The sequence below is a fragment of the Homo sapiens genome, chromosome 17 (genome assembly GCF_000001405.40).
Source record: "Homo sapiens chromosome 17, GRCh38.p14 Primary Assembly".
Taxonomy (NCBI): Eukaryota; Metazoa; Chordata; class Mammalia; order Primates; family Hominidae; genus Homo; species Homo sapiens.
Window position 1 is genome coordinate 68,381,087 of NC_000017.11, and position 23,613 is coordinate 68,404,699.

General features: G+C 47.0%; 1 protein-coding gene and 1 pseudogene across 39 annotated transcripts in view, besides 2 other annotated features; one reads left to right on the forward strand and one right to left on the reverse strand.

Annotated features, from left to right (window-relative positions):
* Positions 1–23,613, forward strand: part of ARSG (arylsulfatase G) — a 192,850-nt gene that overhangs the window by 121,917 nt on the left and 47,320 nt on the right. For 21 of the 39 annotated variants that reach the window (XM_047435644.1, XM_047435645.1, XM_047435639.1 and 18 more), the window contains 3 exons: positions 3,978–4,086; positions 13,987–14,107; positions 20,274–20,364. In XM_047435644.1, the coding sequence (XP_047291600.1) occupies positions 3,978–4,086; positions 13,987–14,107; positions 20,274–20,364 (321 nt within the window). Of the gene's footprint in view, positions 1–3,977; positions 4,087–13,986; positions 14,108–15,408; positions 15,490–17,998; positions 19,072–20,273; positions 20,365–23,613 lie in introns of those variants that run through there. The other 18 variants (XM_047435632.1, XM_047435634.1, XM_047435637.1 and 15 more) reach the window with 3 other exon arrangements.
* Positions 148–348: a silencer, noted in NCBI's record as "peak2959 fragment used in MPRA reporter construct". NCBI's record gives its function as "represses an SCP1 promoter by STARR-seq MPRAs in K562 erythroleukemia cells {active_cell/tissue: K562}" and the evidence as "EXISTENCE:reporter gene assay evidence [ECO:0000049][PMID:32103011]".
* TRUND-NNN5-1 (tRNA-undetermined (NNN) 5-1) lies at positions 13,730–13,804 on the reverse strand (annotated as a pseudogene).
* Positions 17,722–18,081: an enhancer, noted in NCBI's record as "active region_12648". NCBI's record gives its function as "activates an Ori minimal core promoter by ATAC-STARR-seq in GM12878 lymphoblastoid cells {active_cell/tissue: GM12878}" and the evidence as "EXISTENCE:reporter gene assay evidence [ECO:0000049][PMID:35858748]".

Sequence of the window (23,613 nt, forward strand, 5' to 3'; positions counted from 1 at the left end):
GTATGGAGAAATTTGCGAATTTCCTTGTTTGCTGCATTGCCTTTCTGACTCAGTGAAACATGGCCCTTGGGTCCCAGCCAAGAAAGACCACTGTTCCTCCGCGTGGGCAGTGGTGAGTCTTCCCCGGCCTGCCCCTGTCTTCATGCATCATAAAATGCCACTTCACTTCCGTAACCAGAGAAGCACAAATAAGCAAATTCATGAATCATGGTTTTGTTGATATTTTGGTTGCTGTGGCTAAATATTTATTGCTTTAAGAGGTTCTGCTTTAATTAGAGTCACAAGTAACCACAAGTGCGTAGAAATGCATTCTCATGGCCATAAGACACGCATTTCTCGACAGAAAGCCGAAGGCAACTAACAGTTTTAATGTGCCAGTGCCTGATCAAAGTATGGAGGCTTATCTAAATGAATAGTGTTTGAAATTGAAAAGTGATTAGAAGTTTCATTTATGGATTGTCTATTGTTCTTACTATGACTTATAAGGTCATATTTATGATGCTATGGCATAGAGGTATAAAGTCGTGGGCAACAGAAAGCCTGCAGTGACGATGACTATTAGCTACATTTAACTTTGAAACGTGCTGTGTTCTCTTCCCGATCTTGCCCCTTGCCCTCCTTCCCTGGGAATGAGTGCTCTCCCCACTAAATCCCCAGGAGGGTTTTAGAAGATATTGATGTCAGAGCTTCACTGCAGGTCGATTAAATCACAGTCTCTGGGAAAGAGACTTTGGCATGCGTATTTTTTAAAAGCTCTCCAGTGATTCTAATACATATTCAAAATGGAACCACCTCCCTAGGTTTAGTGAGTGAGGGTGCTGGCTGTGTAGTCAGACCGGCGTTCACATCTTGGCTCTATCATTTTCTTTCTTTCCTTTTTTTTTTTTTGACAGAGTCTCTGTCGTGCAGGCTGGAGTGAAGTGGCTCAATTTTGGCTCACTGCAACCTCCGCCTCCCGGGTTCAAGTGATTCTCCTGCCTCAGCCTCCTGAGTAGCTGGGATTACAGGCATGCGCCACCACGCCTGGCTAATTTTTGTATTTTTAGTAGAGATGGGGTTTCACCATGTTAGGCTGGTCTCGAACTCCTGACCTCATGATCTGCCCACCTCAGCCTCCCAAAGTGCTGGGATTACAGGCGTGAGCCACTGCACCCGGCCGGCTCTATCATTTTCTAGCTATGTGACTTGGGGGCAAATTACTTAGCCTCTCTGAGCTTTGGTTTCCCCATCTGAAAGATGGGGACAATAGTGGCTAACTTGAGAGGTTGTCATAAGGATTCAATGAGATAATGCCAGGAAGCATGTATCATGCTGAGGAGCACTTAACTTGGTACTTAGTAAGGGCTCAATAAATACGAGATGTTATTGTTGTTGTTATTACTATTATGTTTAACTTAGAATAACTATCCATTAGTGGGAGCAGGTATTACTGAAGAATATTGGGGGATCAGGAGTAGCTATCCTAGAATTTAGCCTTTGCTGGTGCAGATAAAACACAACACGCCTGTTTGATATAAGCATATGCATCTCATAATTAGAGTACACAATCCTAGGGGCCGATAGAATGCCAGTCAGATCTTTGTAAGTTTTGTCCACTCCTAGCAGTACCAGTGAGAAGCTGAGATTTATAGCAAGACAGTATCTGCGCTGTTGGTGACACATAAATATTTTACAATTGCCTGTTCACACTCTAGACCCTTTTAAGATAAATCCCTTTAGAATACAAGGTCTGTGGACCTGTGATCATTTGGGTGGCTGGCATATATAATTGTGTCTTCCTGTTAGAGCCAGAACCCAGGATGTAGCCTGCACTAACCAACTAGTCTGTACAACAAAAAGAGGGGATTGCTCCTTAAGTGGCCACACTGAGAGGCTTCTCTCAGCCAATCTTTTTCTTTCTCCTAATTCCTGAATCTTTTGCAAGGAGATTGTCTGCTTTGTTGACTACACCTGTTTTATAACTAGCTGGATTCCTCCAAACCCCTCCAGCTTTCAGTCCTTTGCTGAAATAAGACAAGCACATTGAAACGTTTTTCTCTGAAGAGCGTATTAGGAAAGTCAGTCACCTACAAGAGAGCAACACAAAAGGTTGTGGCAAACGAGAAGAATCCCTAATTCTTGAAGGGATCCCTAATTGGTGAAGACCAATTAGCAAATTTATTAATTAGACCAATCCCTAATTGGTGAAGACCAATTAGCAAATTTATTAACTAAAGGTCAGTTTACCCTTCTGGAAACATCCTGGAGGCAGAGACCAAATCCTGTGTTCAACCCTGGTGCCATTGCCCACCCCAGTGCCTTCTGGTTGACCGATAGAGCTAATGGCTTGTTTCCTGGAACCACAGCCGTGATCTTTCCTTAGCATCTGGCCTCAAAGGTTAAGCAAGACTATTTGAATAGTGTACACCATGGACATGCAGATAAACAGGCTCCCCGTTTTCACCCACCCATACCCCAAGCTTCCACAAAGATGCCCCCACGGGGGTGGAAGTATCTACAAAGCCCTGGCACATGCCTTTGAGCGGATGCTTCCTCCCTGCCCTTTGGCCCTAAGCTGACGCATAAGTCATACATTCCAAAGCCACGTGGAAATGCGTTTTATGCTTGCTGGAGTTCTGGATTCTTTGTTCCAAGTGCGTGAATAAATTGGAGGGAGCTATATGTATTTATGGGAGACGTGGCCCTCGATAGGAAGGATGTATTAGAGAAATGCTGGGCTAGATCAAAGAGCGTCTCATTCAGCCTGCAGAGACTCCAGTTAGATTTTTCAACCCCACACCCTTAAACATAAACAGTCCATAGGACATAAGTTATTTTGTGTTTTGTTTCTTACTTCAAAACTTGAGGGACTCCAAAGCTGATTATGAAAGAGTCCTAAGAATGCTGAGCATTTCCCGTGTGGTGTGCTGGGCCAGGGACATCAAAGGTTCCGTTTGCAACAGTGCTAGTACAGGGCGACAGAAGCCTTCATCTTCTTCCTCCCCACGCTTCTCCCCACATAATTGCTTTCATTATTCACACCAGCCAAACAAAGGGAAATTGCATGACCACAGTGTGTGTGAGCCACACACAGCACTTGCCTTGGAAAGGCTGTGCACACGCTAACTTTGTGGGATCCTTGGCCCTTGGCTCAACCAGGATGAGGGTGGGGTGTGTGTGGGGGTGGTGGGATGGCCGTGGTTAATGCAACCCAACATGTATTCAGGATGTTTCCATCAAGCATGACCTCATGTCTTCCAGCCCGCTAGCTATCATTATACTGGTGGTCACTTTTGACTTAATGGTTACAAAAATAATTCCTTTAATAACCAAGGTGGAAATTCATAGATTGCACGTAGTTGTTTCTTACCTCCCCCAGGAGGCAAGAGGTTGGAACTATTACTGACACTGTCTCCATAACATCAGAACAACTCATGAATTCAAGGAAAAACAAAGCAAAGCAAAACAAAATAAAGCCATAAAATCCATGCCAGATCGGTTCTTGGATGTTGAGCAGATCAAATAGCTGCAGAAGTTTCCTTCTTTCTCTCTTCTTTAATAGTTGTATTTCTTCATCCTAAACAGACAGTCACATTATGATCACCAGGAAGAGAAATTCACTTACTCAACAAAGATTTGCTAAGCCCCACTATGTCTTAGGTGCATGAGACTGATGAAGTCTCATGGTGTTGAGACACAAAACAAGCAAATCAATAAATGAAAAAATAATTTACAGTGGGGAAGGTCTCATGAAGAAAATAAAATGAGGTGATTCAGTAGAGTGAGGCAACTTTTTACATCTGAAGTCCAGTAAAATAAAAAGCATATTTTGAAAGATACTAGCTAGTTGAGGGAAATAGCTGGTTACCAAAAAAGTCATTCCTTTGTTGGGGTTATTGGAAACTCAGAGAGGGGTTCTCCCAGAGACTAGCTCTTAGCTGAAAAGAAGTCTCGAGTTATCACCATGGATGAACCAGCTGCCTCCCCTCCTCTCACAGGGGGAAGTCCAGCCAAGCAGACGACCTGGGAAGGAGGGCACCGGGTCCCAGCACTGGCTTACTGGCCTGGCAGAGTTCCAGTTAATGTCACCAGCACTGCCTTGTTAAGGTATGAGACCAAAACTACCTTGAGATGTTGGGGCCCAGAGCAAGAAAAGTCATGGAGGCATGGGTGGCTAGATGGAGGCATGGGTGGCTAGATGGAGGCATGGGTGGCTAGAGGCCTCAGGAAGGTCATTCACCACTTGCCTTTGCCGGGTGTTCCCAGACACTTCCAAGACTCTGACTGTAGAAGTGATGAAAGTAATAGTGAAGTGGGGCCACGTGTGGAGGCTCGCTTCTGTAATCCTAGCACTTTGGGAGGCTGAGGCAGGAGGATTGCTGAGGTCAGGAGTTTGAGACTATCCTGGTCAACATAGCAAGACCCTATCTCTAAAAAGAAGGGAAGGGAAGAGAAGGGAGGGGAGGGGAGGGAAGGGAAGGAGAGGGGAGGCGAGGGGAGGGGAGGGGAGAGGAGGGGAGGGGAGGGAGAAACAGTGAAGTGGGACTCGAGCCATCTTCTGGGAATAACACCTGAGTGAAGAAGGGATTGGTTGGTTTCACATACATCAGCATTGGGTCCTGGCTGTGTCTGCTGGAGAGAGTGCAGAAAAGGCGGCAGCAGCAGCATCTCCCTCTCAGCCTGTGCCAAGCTGACCGAGGCAATAGATCCTTTGAGACCTAATTGTTCCATCCTTGGGGTTAAGGCAGGTGTCTTAGGGGTGGCTGTGAGAAGCCGGCTAGTCTCTAGCAATCCGATGGCCCCAAGAAAGGAGTCCAGATGTCCACTTTCCCTGGAGGAGGGTGGAGAAGAAAGGTGGCCCCTCCAGGCCATTAGGGAAATAATGAATCCTTAGGTGAAGACATTCCTCCTGCCTCTGGCCATGATGCTTCTTAATGAGCTGAGTGTCTGCATAGCTCACTGCAGACCCATCACATCAGGTAAATGTGATGTCTCACCATTATTCTTATTGCCGCCTTAAGGCAGATCCAGGAGGCCATCTCCATGGCAAAGAACTTGGCTGTGCAGCGTCTATGTGAAAACAACATCTTCCCAGCTATGGAACCATGACTTATCCTGGGGACTTTTCACTAATTCAGACAGGACCTTCCTCTCTGTGTTCTGCCCTGTGTTCACTAACAAGGGGAACCCTCCGTAGAACCCTGTGCTCATTCATGTGCTCAGAAAACTGCTGGTTAAAGACCGATTTCCTAATTCCAAAGGTTCTTTGCCATTAGCCTAATGAGTTCTGGCGTAAAGAACACAGCTGAGTAGAGGCAGGCAAGCTTCATTGGCACCCTCTGACTTCCCTAGATCCAATGGGGAGGAGGGGAGAGACTCAAAGTCCAGGGGAAAAGGGTAAACAGCTTTCAGGGCCAAAGTATGGGGTGGGTGGGCATCACCCCTGGCAGCCTGTGGGGCCCCCAGAAATTCCGGGTCAGCCCTGTACAGTCAGGAGGGGGCAGCGTGCTGTCAGCGGGTACCAGCAGGTGTGACAACAACAGCAGAGCCTGGAATCTGTGATGTCAGGCTGCCTGGGAAAAGGGCCAGGCAGGCTGCTTTTATAGGGCTGACTTGGTGTAGTCAAAGTGCTTATCAAGAGGGGCCAAGTGTTCACGGGCCAGGCTGCACATGGACAAGTAACTCAGCCGTCTCTCAAGTTGCTTCACAGAAAGCCAACCAGTGGCTTCTCATCAGAGAATGGTGTTTGCACCTACAGTCAACCATAATAAAACTGCCTCATCTCATTCATAATGTAGGGCCTTAGAGGAGACAACTGACTGAGAGGATGGTTTGGTGACCCAAGGCAGTGTCTGCCTGAGGGCCCCAGAATTGTACCAGGATAATACCAACACACCGTATCGGTACCTCCTAGGAGATACATTAGGTTGGTGCAAAAGTTGTTGCGGTTTTTGCCATTACTTTTAGTAGCAAAAACTGCAATGACTTTCGCACCAACCTAATATATAGTGTATCACACACACACACACACACACACACACACACACACACACATACCTTTTATTTTATTTATTTTGTTAAGAGACAGGGCATCACTCTGTTGCCCAGACTGTAGTGCAGTGCCAAGATCATAGCTCACTGCAGCCTTGAACTCCTGGGTTTGTGTAATCCTCCCATCTCAGCCTCCCAAGTAGCTGGGACTACAGGCATGCACCACTATGCCTGGCTAATTTTTTAATTTTTTGTAGGCATGGGGACTCTTAATGTTGCCCAGGCTGGTGTTGAACTCCTGGTCCCAAGCACTCTTCCCTCCTGGGCCTCCCAAAGCACTGGGATTACAGGCATGAGCCATCACACACAGCCAAGGCTAGTTTTTGGTGTTAAATTAGGCTGGATTTCAGCCAGCCAGTTTTACCTCTATAGATTTACCTTCTTGCTGTTTCCCATATGAATCCATGTTAAGCAAATTTGGGCGGAGTTTCCTACTGCCTGGACAGGCTGTGTGTGTGTGTTTCTCTTTCCCTTGACACCTCAGGGTCAGCTTGACAGAGAATGGTACTATGATCCAAATTCAAGACATTGATGCTAATGCTTCATGTTGTTGGGAGCCCAGCCCGGCACCCTCCGCCCAGACTGCATATCACCTACTCTTGTTTCATTGCTTGAGGAATATAGATCTTCCAGATCAGAGATAACTCCCTTAAGCCACTAAGAGCTAAAGCCAGAGTCCCTTAAACCTATATCCTTGAGGCCCTGAGGAATTATGAGCATCAGAGAGTGGTCAAGTTGATATAAATATGAATACAGAAAAGTGAAAGAGAATGTGTGGGAGAGGGGGCGGGGGATCCATTCACATGGATCCCATTGGTTTTAGAGATAACCAGTGTTAATATCGGTGTGTACCTGGGTGATGTCATAAGATGAAAGAAGGGTCTTGCACGTGACCTGCCTCCACAGACACAAGTACAGGATGGGGAAAATGCATTTATTCCACAGATATTTATTGCCATGTCCAACTATGGGTCAATCATTACTCCAGGGACTGGGGAGATGGCAGTCATGAGCAGACCAAACAGAAAGCTCTTTGTTTAGGGGCTACCTTACCTTCAGGAGGCCAGGGCTTTGGCAGCACATGGGAAAAGGTTTCAGTAGTTTTAACTTAAAACTGTGCTGCAGGCTTTCCCAACCGTGGCGTGGTCGGCATTTTGGGCTGGATCACTCTTCGTTTTGGAGGACTGTCCTGTGCGCTTTATAGGATGTTTAGCAGCAGCTCTGGCTTCTACCCATTAGATGCCAATCGTGTCCCCACCCCACCCCCTAAGTTGTACAATTAAAACGTTTCCAGACAGTGCCAAATGTCCCCGGGGAGAATGAACTCACTCTGGCTGAGAACTACGGCTTTAGCGGAAGCTCTCTTAGCCATATACAAGAAGGGGAAGGGCCTGCTCTGCCTCTGAGCTGGGAGACCCCTACCTCTGCTCCGAATGAGGATCGATCCTTCAGAGATGAACTGGGGCAATTATGAGGTGACCAGAATGGCAAAAAGGACTTGAAACAATCTTATTTGAAAAACAGCTAAGGCCGGACGCAGTGGCTCACGCCTGTAATCCCAGCACTTTGGGAGGCCGAGGCGGGCGGATCATGAGGTCAGGAGTTCGAGACCAGCCTGACCAACATGGTGAAACCCCGTCTCTACTAAAAATACAAAAATTAGCCGGGCGTGGTGGCGCGTGCCTGTAATCCCAGCTATTCAGGAGCCTGAGGCAGGAGAATTGCTTGAACCCAAGAGGCGGAGGTTGCTGTGAGCCGAGATCGCACCACTGCATTCCAGCCTGGGCGACAGTGAGACTCTGTCTCAAAAAAAAAAAAAAAAAAAAAAAGAAAAACAGCTAAAGCTGCTGTGTAGCCAGAAGAGGTAACTCCCTGGGCTACCTCGTGGCTCTGAAAGACAGTCAGGTGTGTGGAAGAGGGATTCAGCTGGTTCTGGCCTGTCCGAAGGCACCGGTCTTGGAAGTAAAAGCTACGAGGAGGCTGTGCTCACATCAGTGTCTTGTGGTTTAGCTGTCACCTACAGGCAGGGCCTAACCACATGTCGCCTTTCCAAGTCCTCTCCTCCTCCCTGGATCTGGCAGTGGGTAGTGGTGGTTGGTGGAGGTGGTCTCACCCCCACCCCCACTCTTGGCAGCTCTCTTTACTCTGTAAGAAGCGCTTGGTTTGCTGGGGGGCATCCCCTGATGCTCTGGGACCCCTGCAACCCCGGTTCTCCCTGAAATCAATGTGGCTGGGGCTATGCTGGCTTCTAAGAGGGACTCGTGTGTGGATGAGGGTGCCAGGGAAGCTGCCCATCAAATGTGAGCATAGGCTTGCCCCTCATGTCTCCACGGCTGAGACCAGGAAGGCGTGGGCACCTCACTTTTCTCGGGGATAATGACAGGGAAGAACAATGCAGGAAAAAAGTTAAAACTAAATGCAGAAAGAAATTTACAACTCAGTGCTAAGAAAGTACTGCTCCCACGGCCTAGGGATGATCCCTACTGTTCCCTGTCCCTTCCTCTTCTTCAGAGGAAGTTCTCTTCTTGCCTTCATTCGGGAGAGATGAACACAAAGCCTCTGTCTCTGTCCAGGTCCAAGCGCCTCCAATCCATCCCCAAGCAAACCTCTCCTGCCTCTCGCTTCCTGTCCTTAGATCAGATCCACCTTTTTTCCAGATAAAACGTTCTCAGCTTCTCTGTCCCCTGCCTTCATCCTGGGATGCCTTCCACCCCAGGGCTGCCCAGCACAGCACCTCAGTTCCCATACTATGCATCCTGAAGTCCATGTGGTTCCTTCTGGAACGAGCCCCCTGTTGGCCTTCCACTCCCCTTTACCTACCCCCCACCTGCACACCTTGGGGTCCAGCAGGCCAGGCCTTTCTTTCTTTCTTTCTTTCTTTCTTTTTTTAGATGGAGTTTCACTCTTGTCACCCAGGCTGGAGTGCAATGATGTGATCTCGGCTCACTGCAACCTCTGCTTCCCGGGTTCAAGTGATTCTCCTGCCTCAGTCTCCCCAGTAGCTGGGACTACAGGCATGCGCCACCATGCCCGGCTAATTTTTGTCTTTTTAGTAGAGACAGGGTTTTATCATGTTGGCCAGGCTGGTCTCGAACTCCTGACCTCAGATGATCTGCCTGGCAGGTCAGGCCTTTCTGCATCCTCCTCGCCACCACTGCCCCATCTCCACTCCTAGGATCCTTCAGCAGCCCCTTGGATAAGAACACAAATATGCACCCTTCCTACGAACAACCTTCAGAGCCTGGGGTGACCAGAGCCACAGGAAAGAAAAAGCACATATTTTCATAAGGGCAATGCAACCTGCAAAGATGTCACCCTGCCCACTCTGAGGACAGCCTTTTGTGCCATTGTGCAGAGCAATCTCAGCCTTCTCCTGTTATCACGAGTGGGTTCATGGCTGCCCTTGTCACAACCAAAAAGCCCACTGAAGTGGGGTTTCATCCCATCAGAGGCTGGGAACCACTTCTCCATCAGACCCATGAGGCATAGTGCCAGAGTCCATGGAATTTTGGAATTTTTTTTTTAAGATGGAATTTCCCTCTTGTCACTCAGGCTGGAGTGCAATGGCACGATCTCAGATCACTGCAACCTCCACCTCCTGGGTTCAAGTGATTCTCCTGCCTCAGCCTCCCGGGTAGCTGGGATTACAGGTGCCTGCCACCATGCCTGGCTAATTTGTTTTGTATTTTTAGTAGAGACAGGGATTCACCATGTTGGCCGGGCTGGTCTGGAACTCCTGACCTCAGGTGATTCACCCTCCTCAGCCTCCCAAAGTGCTGAGATTACAACTGTGAGCCACTGTGCCCGGTCCTTTTTTTTTTTTTTAATGAAGGAAGAGACCCACGAAGGCAGAAGTGCCCAGGTCCCATGAAAGCTGCAGTGTGGCTCTGCCAAAAGCCGGGCACCGAAACGAACAGGGGAAGCTTTGAAGTATAGGTTTGTATTTATTTTGTCTCTTTCTCCGAGGTTTTAAAGACTCCCAGGCCCAATTTCTTTGGTGGGGTTTGAGGTTTGGAGTAGCTGGGGTGCCCTTGGTAGCCTTAGTAGGGTGGATGCTTTCTTCAAGTTCTCATGTAGGCTGGGGGCCCAGGCCTGGGATGACTTTGGGCTGCATGTGCCAGGGACCGTCTCCCTCTTCCAGGGCTAAGCTCTTGGGCTTGGCTTTTTCTGTTACTTAAGGAAGGACTATTTGACAGCCCAAGCTTGCCAAATCGGGATGGGGCTGCCTCGAGTGGCCTGAGTCACTGGACATGTTGAAGCTTTTCTCATGGGCGAGAGGCTTTCTTTGTGCTCCAGGTGGACTAGGTACCTCTGAAGTTCTTGCCAAAGTCTGAGACATTAGGATTCCGTGAACATTAGACTTAGTGCTCTATAATTGGGATGCTAAACCTCAGGAGAGAGTAGTGGGGGGAAATCAGATGGAAAAAGAAAGTACACAATACTTTCCAAAATCGAACGCAGATCCTGTTTCTCTTGCTGACTGATTTGACCCATCTGTGACGCTGATCTCTCTTAGGGGCACAATTTAGAGAAAACTCGAGCAAACAGCTCCAAACCACCGCGGCCTTTTCAGACTGCTTTGTGGTCCTCTTTGCTTTCCGGTATGTGGCAGGAACCTTGGACTCTGGACAGGTTTCTGGACTGTTCCGTGCTCTGCGAGTGCTGACTCTGCATTCTTGACTTTGCATCAGAGTGGGGTGCCAGGTCCTGGAGCTTGTTTCTTAAGAGATAAGCCACCAGCTCCATGGACTGTGGGAGCCAAAGGCAAACAGAAACATTCTGCACTGTAGTCAATGGAGAGATTCTGCCTGGGGTTGTAGGTAGAGCCCTGGAGAGGAGAAGGAGATGGCCAACAGGAGACGGAGCCTCAGAGCAGGTCCTTTCTGCAGCCCCCTTAGAGGGCGGATATCCCCCCAGCCCCTCAGATATCAGATTGGGGAAAGTGGGGATTTGTGGCCCTGGAGGCTTCCTGATGAATGGTGCATGCGAAAGCCTGAACTCTGCTGCTGCGCCCAGCCTCAGGGCTACCAGGGCCTCTTTCTTGGGAAAGTCCAGCTTCGCATTAGCTCAGCCCTCCTGGCTCCAGTAAGCCCCGCTGACTTCCAGTTGGCCTGGCCATCATATAAACGGCTCTGTTGAAGGGGCAGCCTCTCTGTTCTTGCGGAAGACTTTTTTCCCCCAACATGAGCACAACAGGCTGGAGGAAGATGTGCCATAGGTAGAGTAACCTTGCACCATATGACTTAAAAAAAAGTCACATGAACAAAATCCACTAAAATATGAACAATGGCTGCCTTTGGGTGATGGACTAAGTGTGTGTTGTTCTCTCTTTTATATTTCCGGATGCTCTCATTTTTTCAACCATAAACATTCGCTATTTTTATTTATTTATTTATTTTTGGAGACAGAGTCTTGCTCTTTCACCCAGGCTGGAGTGCAGTGGTGCAATCTCGGCTCACTGCAACCTCCACCTCCCAGGTTCAAGCCATTCACCTGCCTCAGCCTCCCAAGTAGCTGGGATTACAGGCGTGTGCCACCACACCCAGCTAATTTTTATATTTTTAGTAGAGACAGGGTTTCGCCATGTTGGCCAGGCTGGTCTCAAACTTCTGACCTCAGGTGATCCACCCACCTCAGCCTTCCAAAGTGTTGGGATTACAGGCGTGAGGCACCGCACCTGGCCGCATTCACTACTTTGTAATGGACTAAAAGAGCTAAAATAAAGCCGGTGGAATGTTCCACATATCATGGCATTTTGAACAAAAACTAGATCTTTTATAACACAGAGACCCGCCTAATGGAAAAGGCAGTGAATATTCTCTTGTGGACACCTGTCCCACACTGTTTCCTCTAAGCCAATGGCTGTCACCAAGCTGGTGACAGGTAGAACGCCTCAGTTCTTAGGTGGGCTCACAGGGATTACCCTTGTGAATCATTAAGACACAAACATCCAGTGAGGACTTTCTGAGTGCCAGGTCTTCTTCTCTGTGCCTTACATGTGTGTTTCATGCACACAACCACCTGTGAGCTGGCACCAATACAGCAGTCCTCCTTTATCCACGGTTTCACTTTCTGCAGTTTTAGTTACCTGTGATCAACCATGGTCTATAAATATTAAATGAAAAATTACAGAAATGAATCTAAGTTTTAAATTGTGCACATTCTGAGGAGTGTGGTGAAGTCTGGCACCATCCCACCCACCCTGTAACGCCCTGGACGAGTCCGCCCTTTGTCCGGTGGATCCACGCTGTATACGCTACCTGCCTGGTAGTCACTTAGTAGCCATCTCAGTTATCAGATTGATTGTCGAGATATAGCAGTGCTTGTGTTCCAGTCACACTTATTTTTACTTACTAATGGCCCCAACGTGCAAGAGCAGTGATGTGGGTAATTCGAATATGCCAAAGAGAAGCCGAAATGTGCTTCCTTTAAGTGAAAGGTGAAGTTCTTGACTTAATAAGGAAAGAAGGCTGAGTGCAGTGGCTCCTGCCTGTAATCTCAGCACTTTGGGAGGCCGAGGCAGGTGGATCACTTGAGGTCAGGAGTTTGAGACCAACCTGGCCAACACGGCGAAACCCCATCTCTACTAAAAATACAAAAATTAGCTGGGTGTGTTGGCATGCACCTGTAGACCCAACTACTTAGGAGGCTGATGCAGGAGAATCGCTTGAACCCTGGAGGCAGAGGCTGCAGTGAGCCAAGGTTGCAACACTGCACCTCCAGCCTGGGCAACAGAACAAGACTCCATCTCAAAAAAAAAAAAAAGGGAAAGAAAAAGAAATTATATGCTGAGGTTGTTAAGATCTATGGTGAGAATGAATCTTCTATTTTTTTGTTTTTTCTTTTTGTTTTTTTTGGTAGAGATGGGATTTTGCCCTATTGCCCAGGCTGGTCTCAAACCGGCCATTGTTCACATGGCCATTGTTCAGCCTTTATTCACATTTTGGTGGATTTTGTTCATGTCAGAACAAAATCAACTGATCCACCCACCTTGACCTCCCAAAGTGCTGAGATTACAGGCATAAGCCACCAAGAATGAATTTCCTATCCATGAAATTGTAAAGAAGGAAAAAGAAATTTGTGCTAATTTTGCTGTTGCACCTCAAACTGCAAAAGTTATGGCCACAGTTCATGGTAAGTACTTAGTTAAGATGGAAAAGTCATTACATTTGTGAGTGGAAGACATGAACAGAAACGTGTTCTGATCGGGCGCAGTGGCTCATGTCTGCAATCCCAACACTTTGGGAGGCTGAGGCAGGAGAATCACCTGAAGCCAGGAGTTTGAAACCAGCCTAGGCAACATCGCAAGACCTTGTCTCTACAAAAAAATAAATAAATAAATAAATAAAAATCAATAAAACAACAAAGAAATCTTGTAGGTGTGGTGGTACATGCTTGTAGTCCCAGCTACTCTTGGAGTCAGACGAGTATTACTTCAGCCCAGGAGTTCAAGGTTACAGTGAGTTATGATCACACACTGCACTCCAGCCTGGATGACAGAGCAAGACTCTGTCTCTAAAAAAATTAAGAATAAACATGTTTGATTTATGGCAATCAGGTTTGGTACAATCCAAGGTTCCAGGCATTCACTGAGGCCCTTAGAATGTGTCTCTCTCTGATAAGGGGGGACTACTATATTATTAAAATATCATACCCATCTTAGAGAATTGAAAACTGAGGCATTGAGAAGCTAGATATGTGGCAGAGCTGGGATTTGAGCCCAGGCAACAGCTGGCTGCAGAGCCTGGGTGCTGAACCGCTGCACCATTCTGCCTCTTGTAGGAGCAGAAATCCAGGTGGAACTGAAAGGAAAAACAAGCAGGTAGAGAAGTTAAGCCAGCCCATAGGAGAGGCTGTGGGTGCTTGCTCTGGGCTGGTTCAGGTGGGGGTTGACACGGCAGGGTCAGGGAGCGAGTCAGAAGAGCTGGGGACAACTCAGTCTTGTTATTTCCGCAGCGTGCTGGACATTTTTCCAACTGTGGTAGCCCTGGCCCAGGCCAGCTTACCTCAAGGACGGCGCTTTGATGGTGTGGACGTCTCCGAGGTGCTCTTTGGCCGGTCACAGCCTGGGCACAGGGTAAGTGGAGGAGGTACTTGCCCACATGTAGGCTCTTTAGGAGGCTGGTCTGCTGCCTCTCACCTCTGTGCAGACAGAACCATCATCAGAAGATGGTCAAGAACAGGCTGCAGGTCGGATACAGTGGCTCACGCCTGTAATCCCAGCACTTTAGGAGACCAAGGCGGGCTGATCACTTGAGGTCAGGAGTTCGAGACCAGCCTGACCAAGATGGTGAAACCTCACCTATACTAAAGATACAAAAATTAGCTGAGCATGGTGGCATGGGCCTGTAGTCCCAGCTACTTGGGAGGCTGAGGCAGCAGAATCGCTTGAACCCGGGAGGCAGAGGTTGCCGCCAGCAAGTGGCTGGTTCAGACCCCAAAAGGTGAAGCATTTGAGATGAGCCTCTTTCTACCCCCAACCCCCAGTCCAGATTTATATTTAACAGTTTGGCTTAGGGTGGGTGTATATAGGTTCTCATTCCCTATAATGGGCAATTTCTTTTCCTGCATGTATTTAATTTAATAACATAGCTACCCAGTATTTTTGTTAGATGAGATGACTGACTAGTGTCTGCAACTTGTTTATTGTGAGCCTCACCCTCTAGAATGGAAGCTTCTTGAGGGCAAGAATCTGAGCTGTTGAGTTGAGCTCCGAGTTCTCACTGCCTGCAGTCAGCCAGCATTTCAGTCCATGCAAACTGGATGAACCAATGAAGGAACAAATGAACAAATGAGTGAAAGACCCTTTGGACAGCAGGTCCAGCAAGGGCCTTACATCCAACATTCTCCCAGCTCCAGAGGGCTCAGCACACTCTTGGCAGCCTGTTTTTTTTTTTTGTTTTTTTTTTTGAGATGGAGTCTTGCTCTGTCACCCAGGCTGGAGTGCAGTGGTGTGATCTCAGCTCACTGCAACCTCCGCCTCCTGGGTTCAAGCGATTCTGCTGCCTCACCCTCCCGAGTACCTGGGACTACACCCTCCCGAGCCCATGCCACCATGCTCAGCTAATTTTTGTATCTTTAGTATAGGTGAGGTTTCACCATCTTGACCAGGCTGGTCTTGAACTCCTGACCTCAAGTGATCAGCCCGCCTTGGTCTCCCAAAGTGCTGGGATTACAGGTGTGAGCCACTGTATCCGACCTGCAGCCTGTTCTTGACCAAGCAGACCTTGGCAATGGCTCTGGGCTTCCACTTCCCAGCATCACCTCCTCAATGTCCCCTGTTTGCACTCTGAAGCACTCATTGGCAGTGACAGCCAGGAAATGTCAGGCCTCATGGCCTTTCCTTGTCTTTTCCCTGTGTTTTCCTTTCACCAAAAGGAAGAGGAAGCAGGAGGAGGCAAGGAGGCGGAAGGAGCACAGAGTCCCCTCTGCAACGCCCTACAAATGCATGGCTTCTTGGTGAGGGACCCACACATCAAAGGGTCTATTTGTGTCTTTGCTAAGGGTCACATGGAAGTGACTCAAATGTACAGAAGTGTCCTGTGGCTGGTAGTTACCAAAGCTGCCCTTCCCACCCAGCCTCCCCCAGCAAACCAGAACATGGGTCTTCTATGGGCCATCGGTTCTTCTGTGCACATTAATGCAGTTTTTAGGGGTTGTTGGATGAAGCCTGAGAGGTGTTCTGAAGTCCTGCTTCTCCCCAGAATATCTGCCCCCTAGAGCTGCAGACCCTTCCAGGCCTAGCCCTTCTCCCTAAGCAGGAGCAGCCAGGCAGGAAGATGGTTTCCGCCTTGAGGTTGGAAGTTAGCAGTATGTGACCCTGGAGGGTTGTCACAGACGTCATTGGAGAGGTGCTCCGGAGTGTTTATTACCATGGCTGCTAGGAATAATTGGGGTCATCAGGAAGTGCTTCAAGGACTGTGCTCTCCTTGACGTTGTCGGTACTGCCTGTGGGAGCCAGCTCCTTCATGTACTAACTTCCTTTCTCAGACGGGAGAGCTCTGCTCTTGCTCTAACTGGAGTTTTGCGCAGGCTCGTAGAGACCCCATCCTAACTAGTGCCCAGCAGGGTTAGGCCCAGGAACCAGATTGGAAAACCAGATACAAGTCACAGCATCGTCACGGGGAGGTATGATGGCGTGGTTAATGCAGCTGGAGTCAGGACTGATTTGCTCCCTAACCACACCCCATGGCCCAGAAAGAAACAGCCATGCTTACTGCTTGTGGGAAGCAGCTGATGGTATCTTCAAGGTTAAGAGCACACGGGGCTGGCACCTGTGGGTCACACTCAGTCTCCCAGAGCATGCCTGCAGTGTCAGTGAAGACACTTGAGATAAGATTCTGAAGTTTGAGGACAACATGGGTAGTTGCTGGACCTGAATTTGGGTTTGGTCTTCTCTAGTCAGTCCTCTCTATCAAAGCAAAGTCATAGACCTAAGGAAATAAGAGTAAATTGTCTCAAATTTGGAATAGCTATGGGGGAGGCTTGAAGGTAAGAATATGAGGAATTATATATATATACACACACACACAATATTCTATACATACTTACATGTATGCATATGTGTGCATACGTCTATACATGTGTGTTATACGTGTGCATGCATATTCTAGACGTGTATGCATATGCATGTTTTGTTTTAATTTAATTTAATTTTATTTTATTTTTTGAGAGGAGTCTCACTCTGTCGCCCAGGCTGGAGTGCAGCGGCACAATCTTGGCTCACTGCAACCTCCACCTCCTGGGTTCAAGCGATTCTCCTGCCTCAGCCTCCCAAGTAGCTGGTATTACAGGCGTTCACCACCACGCCTAGATAATTTTTGTATTTTTAGTAGAGACAGGGTTTCACTGTGTTGGCCAGGCTGGTGTCAAACTCCTGACCTCAGGAGATCTGCCTGCCTCGGTCTCCCAAAGTGCTGGGATTACAGGCGTGAGCCACTGTGCCTGGGCTGCATATGCATGTTTATGTACCATGTATGTATATTCATGTATGCATATCCACATCTGTATACATACATGCATACATATGTATGCATATGCATGCTTATACCACACATGCATACACATGTTCGCATATGCATGTGTCTATATAAACATACATATGCATGCTTATGTTTATACACTATACATGTGTACATATGTATGCCTATGCATGTCTATGCACATATATGTATACACATGCATGCACACACATACATGTATACATATGCATATGTCCAGGCACATAAATAGAGATATACACACATATTTATATGCAGGTGTATGCACATGTATACATACGTGTATATATATGCATATATCAATATACACATACATATGTGTACACAGATGCATATGTCTGTAACATATGCATACATGTGTACATATGTATTTTAAAATAAGCACAATTTGTGTTCACCCTCAGATACATCCTGGGCTTACAAGGATTCCAATATGAGTTGGTTTAGAAACACTTTCAGTTCTAGAAGCTCAAAGTAACTCCTGGATATTCAACTGGGAACAATATGCCAATGCTTCTCAGCAATCCAGTCCTTCCCTATTGCAAACCAAGTAACCAAGAGTTAAGGAGAGGAGCAAGAGAGTTGAGAGGTGTCATGTGCACAATGAGCTCCAGTTCCACACTGGATGGTCTTCTCACAACCCACTCCAGCAACCTCTAGGGACGTTGTCTCTGTGATGTTCGAAACCACATCAGCTGACACCATGCTGCATATTCTTGCATCAGCTCAACCTCCTGCTTCTGATCTTGATGGGTCTGTGTCTAGGCAGTGAGGGGCACCAGGAGAGAGATGAGGGCTGGGAAGGGGAGGGCTGCACAGCCTAGAACCAAAGGTCCCACTTTGTGCTTTCCTGGCTCCCAGATGGAAGCTGAAGGTGGTAACATCATCACTGGTCAGGTCGTGTCTTAGCCCCAGGTTGTCATGATCAGGTCCAGAAATTGTCAACGAAGGAACGTTTCCCCTAACAGCTCTGCATCTGCCCAGCCTCACACAGTCTGGGGCTGCTGTGGGTCATCAAATGCTTGACACGCCCCTGGAGGCCATACATCGAGGAAACAAGCTGAGTTTTAATGTCCAGAAAGAACGCTGATCACTTCTCTTAGGGAGGCCCCTAGTGGCGAGAGATGTCATCTGGCGTGGCTGGCAAACTGACCACCCCCATCCACCCCCTTTGGAGGCTGTAGCTGTGCATCCCCACCTGAATGGAGAAGAAGCCCACCTTCAGGGGATGCTATATCAGCACCCTGTGGGACTTAAGGTAAAGGAATGCTCTCGTGCTTAAAAAACAAAACAAGATAAAATAGAGCAAGAAAGGCCACCAGGAAGGCAAAACAAGTTTGCAGAAGATAAAGTCATCTTTGAAATTTGAACCAGGCATCTGGAGAGCTGTGATTCATGTGTACTTTTGACAGCTTCCTTCCTATATTGATATAAACAAGAAAGCCATAATGGGTCTTCTCAAACAAACAAAAAAAATGCATAGACAAGTTCTCCAAAGTCCATCTATGTTTCTGAGAATGAGCCATCCCACAGTTTTGCTTCCTCGTGGATTTTGGAAGTTGCCTCTGGTAACGCCACATAAATAGTGGGAATATAGCAGCCCACCCTCATGGAATTTCTGTGACTGAGACGCAAGTACTGTGACTGATCTGAAGCAGCAACTTCACTCCCATCTTCTGCATGTCCGCGTGCATCGTATATCAGTTGACAATAGATTTTCCAAGTCTCCCACTTCCTGCTGTCTCAAGAAGGAAACAAAACAGTCTCCTGTGGTGAAGAGGCTTGGCTTTCTGCAGGGATGGAAGAAGTGAGGGTTTTCAGTTACGACTTCTTTTCCTGTTTGGAAGGAACCTGCTATCATCATGCGCGCCCTGGGTTTGTGCAGGGATTGTCACGAGAACCTGGAAGCCGCAGGTGTGGGGAGGAGCCCCACCTTGGCGGCATCCTCTCAGAGCTGTGAAACTCCGGGGGACAGCTGTTTACTGCTCCAACAGATGTTTCTCATTTTTTTCTTAAGTCTCGTGTGGAAACTTTGAATCATGTAAGTGCCTTTCCAGCCCTATATACGGTTGTGATTCATACCAAGGCAGTCTCATGCTTTTAGCCCAGACCCACCAACCTACCAAGGACACTGGCCTTTTGTTTTCTTTCACATCCTTCCCTCGAGAACCCTGATTTAGGTGTTTCCATTCTGTACGGTAATTCTTTTATTTGTGACCTGATGAGGAAAGATTTCCTCAGTCCAAATATAGTCGGATTGAGTCATAGCTGTGGGCGTCTGTGACCAGAGTCTGGGCTGTGCCCGATTCTGCGGAAATCAAGGATGCCTTCTTTTGTACCATCCTTGCTCAAGGGAGAGTTGGAACATTGACTTGATGCTGAAGAAGCCTTTCTTCAAAGACAGCTGAGGGTCACCTGCATCAGAACCCTTGGAAATACTTGTAAAACAAGTAAGTCCCCAGGGCCCATCCTGACCCTGAGGGGTTGGAACTCAGGCAGGGTGGCCTTGTGGGCCTGTGACCGGTGCCCCCCACACACAGAGCCCTGCACTTGGAGGGACCCTGTGCTTGGTTTAAAGCTCTGCCGTGGTCATCATGAAATTTTAAGTTTGTGAACAAGGTATCCCTGATTTGCATTTTGTTGTGGACTTTGCAAATTACATAGCAGGTTTCAGGCCTAGAAATCTGACCTACCTAGTGAGACCTTTTGCCTACTCTTCCAGAGTTGTAACCCACTCCCATCAATTAACCAGCAAAATAACAACTTCACAGGCTCCCTGGAGTTGACTGGTGTGGACTCCAGGCTTGTATCTGTCAGTGTGTGTTTGGGCACAGGGATAGGGAGACCAGACCCTGAAAAAGACAGTAATATGTTCCAGGGAGCATCTAGCATCATCTAGCATGTTTTATTTTCTTTTGCTGTTTCGAGACAGGATCTTGCTCTATCACCCAGGCTGGAGTGCAGTGGTATGATCATAGCTCACTGCAGCGTTGACCTCCCAGGCTCAAACAATCCTCTCACCTCAGCTTCCAAGTAGCTAGGACCACAGGTGTGCACCACCATGCCTGGTTAACTTTTGTATTTTTTTGTAGGGAGGGGTCTTGCTGTGTTGCCCAGGCTGGTTTCAAACTCCTGGGCTCAAGTGATCCTCCTGCCTCGACCTCCCAAGGTATTGGGATTACAGGCATGAGTCACCGAGTTCTGCCAATTTTTCTATTAGTAAGCTCTGCCACCCTTTCTCAGGTGCTGTTCCACCCCAACAGCGGGGCAGCTGGAGAGTTTGGAGCCCTGCAGACTGTCCGCCTGGAGCGTTACAAGGCCTTCTACATTACCGGTGAGTGAGGGGCCACTTAGCCCTGCCTCCCACAGTCACAGCTGCACGGGGACCCCATGGACTCTCACCCAGGCCTCTGGGAATGAGTGTGAGTCCCTCCTTTGTGGGGGGTTCTCAGCACCTCTTGACAAGCGTCTCCTCCAAACCCAGGGTCCCTGCACAGGCTCTCTGGATCCCTCATATGCAAATAAGATCTTTGTGCTGTTCACCTGAATTTCTAGTGAGCTGGGAGCTCTCAGCACGTTTATTCAGCTCCTTTTCACATAGAGAGCATTTCCTATTGTCGTGCTTTAAATGCCAGTTTGGATGAACATTAAATGGAAGCCTAGAGATATTTTAAAGTATAATTTACTTGACAATAGACCGTTTCAGAAAATAGATTTTAGAGGACTAGTTAGCAAACCGACAGAAGTCTCTCTGCTTCTTGGTTCACTGTGACTATCTGTCTCTTAGATGTATACTTTAGAAATGTCATACTGTATCAGGATGGTCCTCAGGGTCTTCCAATGGCTTCTTGCTGCCAATTGAATTCAGACTCTCAATCCCGAGTCCTACTGTCTTTCCACCCTTAGTTTTCCAAGAACAAGTCTCCTCTTCCTTGGTCTCCATATTAAAATCCTTTTAAGCCTTTATGGCCCAAGTCAAATGCCACTTTCATAAAACTCTCTTATCTTCCCAGCTGGGTAGGAATTCTGGAGAACTCTGTTATCTCTCACTTTCTGCCATGCATGCCCGTCATTTAGGTACACGTCTTATTTCCTGTACTAGTTTTTTTTGTTGTTTGTTGTTGTTGTTGTTTGTTTGTTTGTTTTGAGACAGAGTCTCGCTCTGTCGCCCAGGATGGAGTGCAGTGGCGTCATCTTGGCTCACTGCAACCTCCGCCTCTTGGGTTCAAGCGATTCTCCTGCCTCAGCCTTCTGAGTAGCTGGGACTACAGGTGTGCACCACCATTCCCGGCTAATTTTTTAATTTTTAGTAGAGACTGTATTTCGTCATATTGGTCAGGCTGGTCTTGAACTCCTGACCTCGTGATCCGCCCGCCTTTCAGCCTCCCAATCCTGTACTAGTTTTTTGTTTTTGTTTTTGTTTTTTGAGATGGAGTCTCGCTCTGTCACCCAGGCTGGAGTGCAGTGGCGTGATCTTGGCTCACTGCAAGCTCTGCCTCCCTGGTTCACGCCATTCTCCTGCCTCAGCCTCCCGAGTAGCTGGGACTACAGGTGCCCGCCACCTCGCCCGCCTTATTTTTTTGTATTTTTAGTAGAGACAGGGTTTCACCGTGTTAGCCAGGATGGTCTTGATCTCCTGACCTCGTGATCCACCCGCCTCGGCCTCCCAAAGTGCTGGGATTACAGGCATGAGCCACCTTGCCCAGCCTGATCCTGTACTAGTTTTAAGCTTTCTAAATTTGGAACTCTTTCAGCACTTTAATCTTTGTTGTCTTGAAGTGCTTAGCACACTTAGTAGGAACGCTACAATTTTTAAGTAAATGAAAAACAAAAAATAAAAAAAGGAAAACCTGTGACCTAATGCAGATTCCAACTTGATTCAGTTATTTAATGTTGGAGCTTTTCAAATTATATGATAAAAAAATTATTTTCCCTGAGTGTAAATAAGTGATCCTGAAGAAAATGTGGCATAAAAACAAAACATGACTTGAGGGGTATTAAAAATGTCACAAAAATCTTTGATTCTCTAAAACCTAAAACTCAGTCAGATATTTGTTGTTTTCGGTTGAAAAGTTTCTAGATTAGAGTCCTTATATTACATTATCTAAGAGGTATGGGACCTCCAGGCTGAGTTAATTTCACAAGTAAAAGTCCTGCCAGAAAGCCCTTGGCACCACAATGTTGGAATCAGACATGTTACTATGAAGTAATAGGGCTATTTAAATGATCACAATCAGATAGGAACTATAACACCCAGGGGAGGTCTGCTCTTCTAAGGAGTCACCAAACTCCCAAGAGAGTCTGGGTAGGGAGCACTGAACTTTTAATCCATCAGTGAAAACTGGGAATAGGATGAAACAGGGGCATGTTCTGATTCCCTCTTCCTCTTGCTTCTAATATTTGCATTCCAGTTACTTACAACTGCTTTTGGATAAGCTAGATGAATTGACATCTACTACATTAGATTAGAGAAAGATGTGTTCGTCTATGATGAGGATATGATGTTATGGTCACGCACTGGGAGTGGTCTTGAAAAGACAACCAGTCTGTTTTGGTATGTGGCCTAGAATTAAGGTGTACCTTATTGTTTTTCTTTTTTTTTATTATTATACTTTAAGTTCTAGGGTACATGTGCACAACGTGCAGGTTTGTTACCTATGTATACATGTGCCATGTTGGTGTGCTGCACCCATTAACTCGTCATTTACATTGGTTATATCTCCTAATGCTTTCCCTCCCCCCTCACCCCACCCCACGACAGGCCCCGGTGTGTGATGTTCCCCTTCCTGTGTCCATGTGTTCTCATTGTTCAATTCCCACCTATGAGTGAGAACATGTGGTGTTTGTTTTTTTGTTCTTGTGATAGTTTGCTGAGAATGATGGTTTCCAGGTTCATCCATGTCCCTACCAAGGACGTGAACTCATCCTTTTTTATGGCTGCATAGTATTCCATGGTGTATATGTGCCACATTTTCTTAATCCAGTCTATCATTGATGGACATTTGGGTTGGGTCCAAGTCTTTGCTATTGTGAATAGTGCCGCAATAAACATACGTGTGCATGTGTCTTTATAGCAGCATGATTTATAATCCTTTGGGTGTATACCCAGTAATGGGATGGCTGGGTCAAATGGTATTTCTAGTTCGAGATCCTTGAGGAATCGCCACACTGTCTTCCTCAATGGTTGAACTAGTTTACAGTCCCACCAACAGTGTAAAAGTGTTCCTATTTGTCCAGTTAAGGCAACCTGTACACAAAGTGAAAGGCCCAGATCTATAATGTATAATTTGGTGAGGTTTTATAAATGTAGATACCGTGTATGTACCCTTTTAATGGTGTGAATTCCATTGATTCTTTTTCTTTTTCCATTGATTGATTTTCAAGTGTTAAGCCAACTTTACATTCCTCAATAAATCCCATTTAGTAATGATGTATCATACTTTTTATATCTTGCTGATTTTGATTTGCTAAGATTTTGTCTATAATTTTCCTTTCTTGTCTATGTCAAGGTTTGGTATCAGGATTTTGCTGGCCTTATAAAATGAGTTGAGAAATATTCCCTTCTCTATTTTCTGAAAGGGTT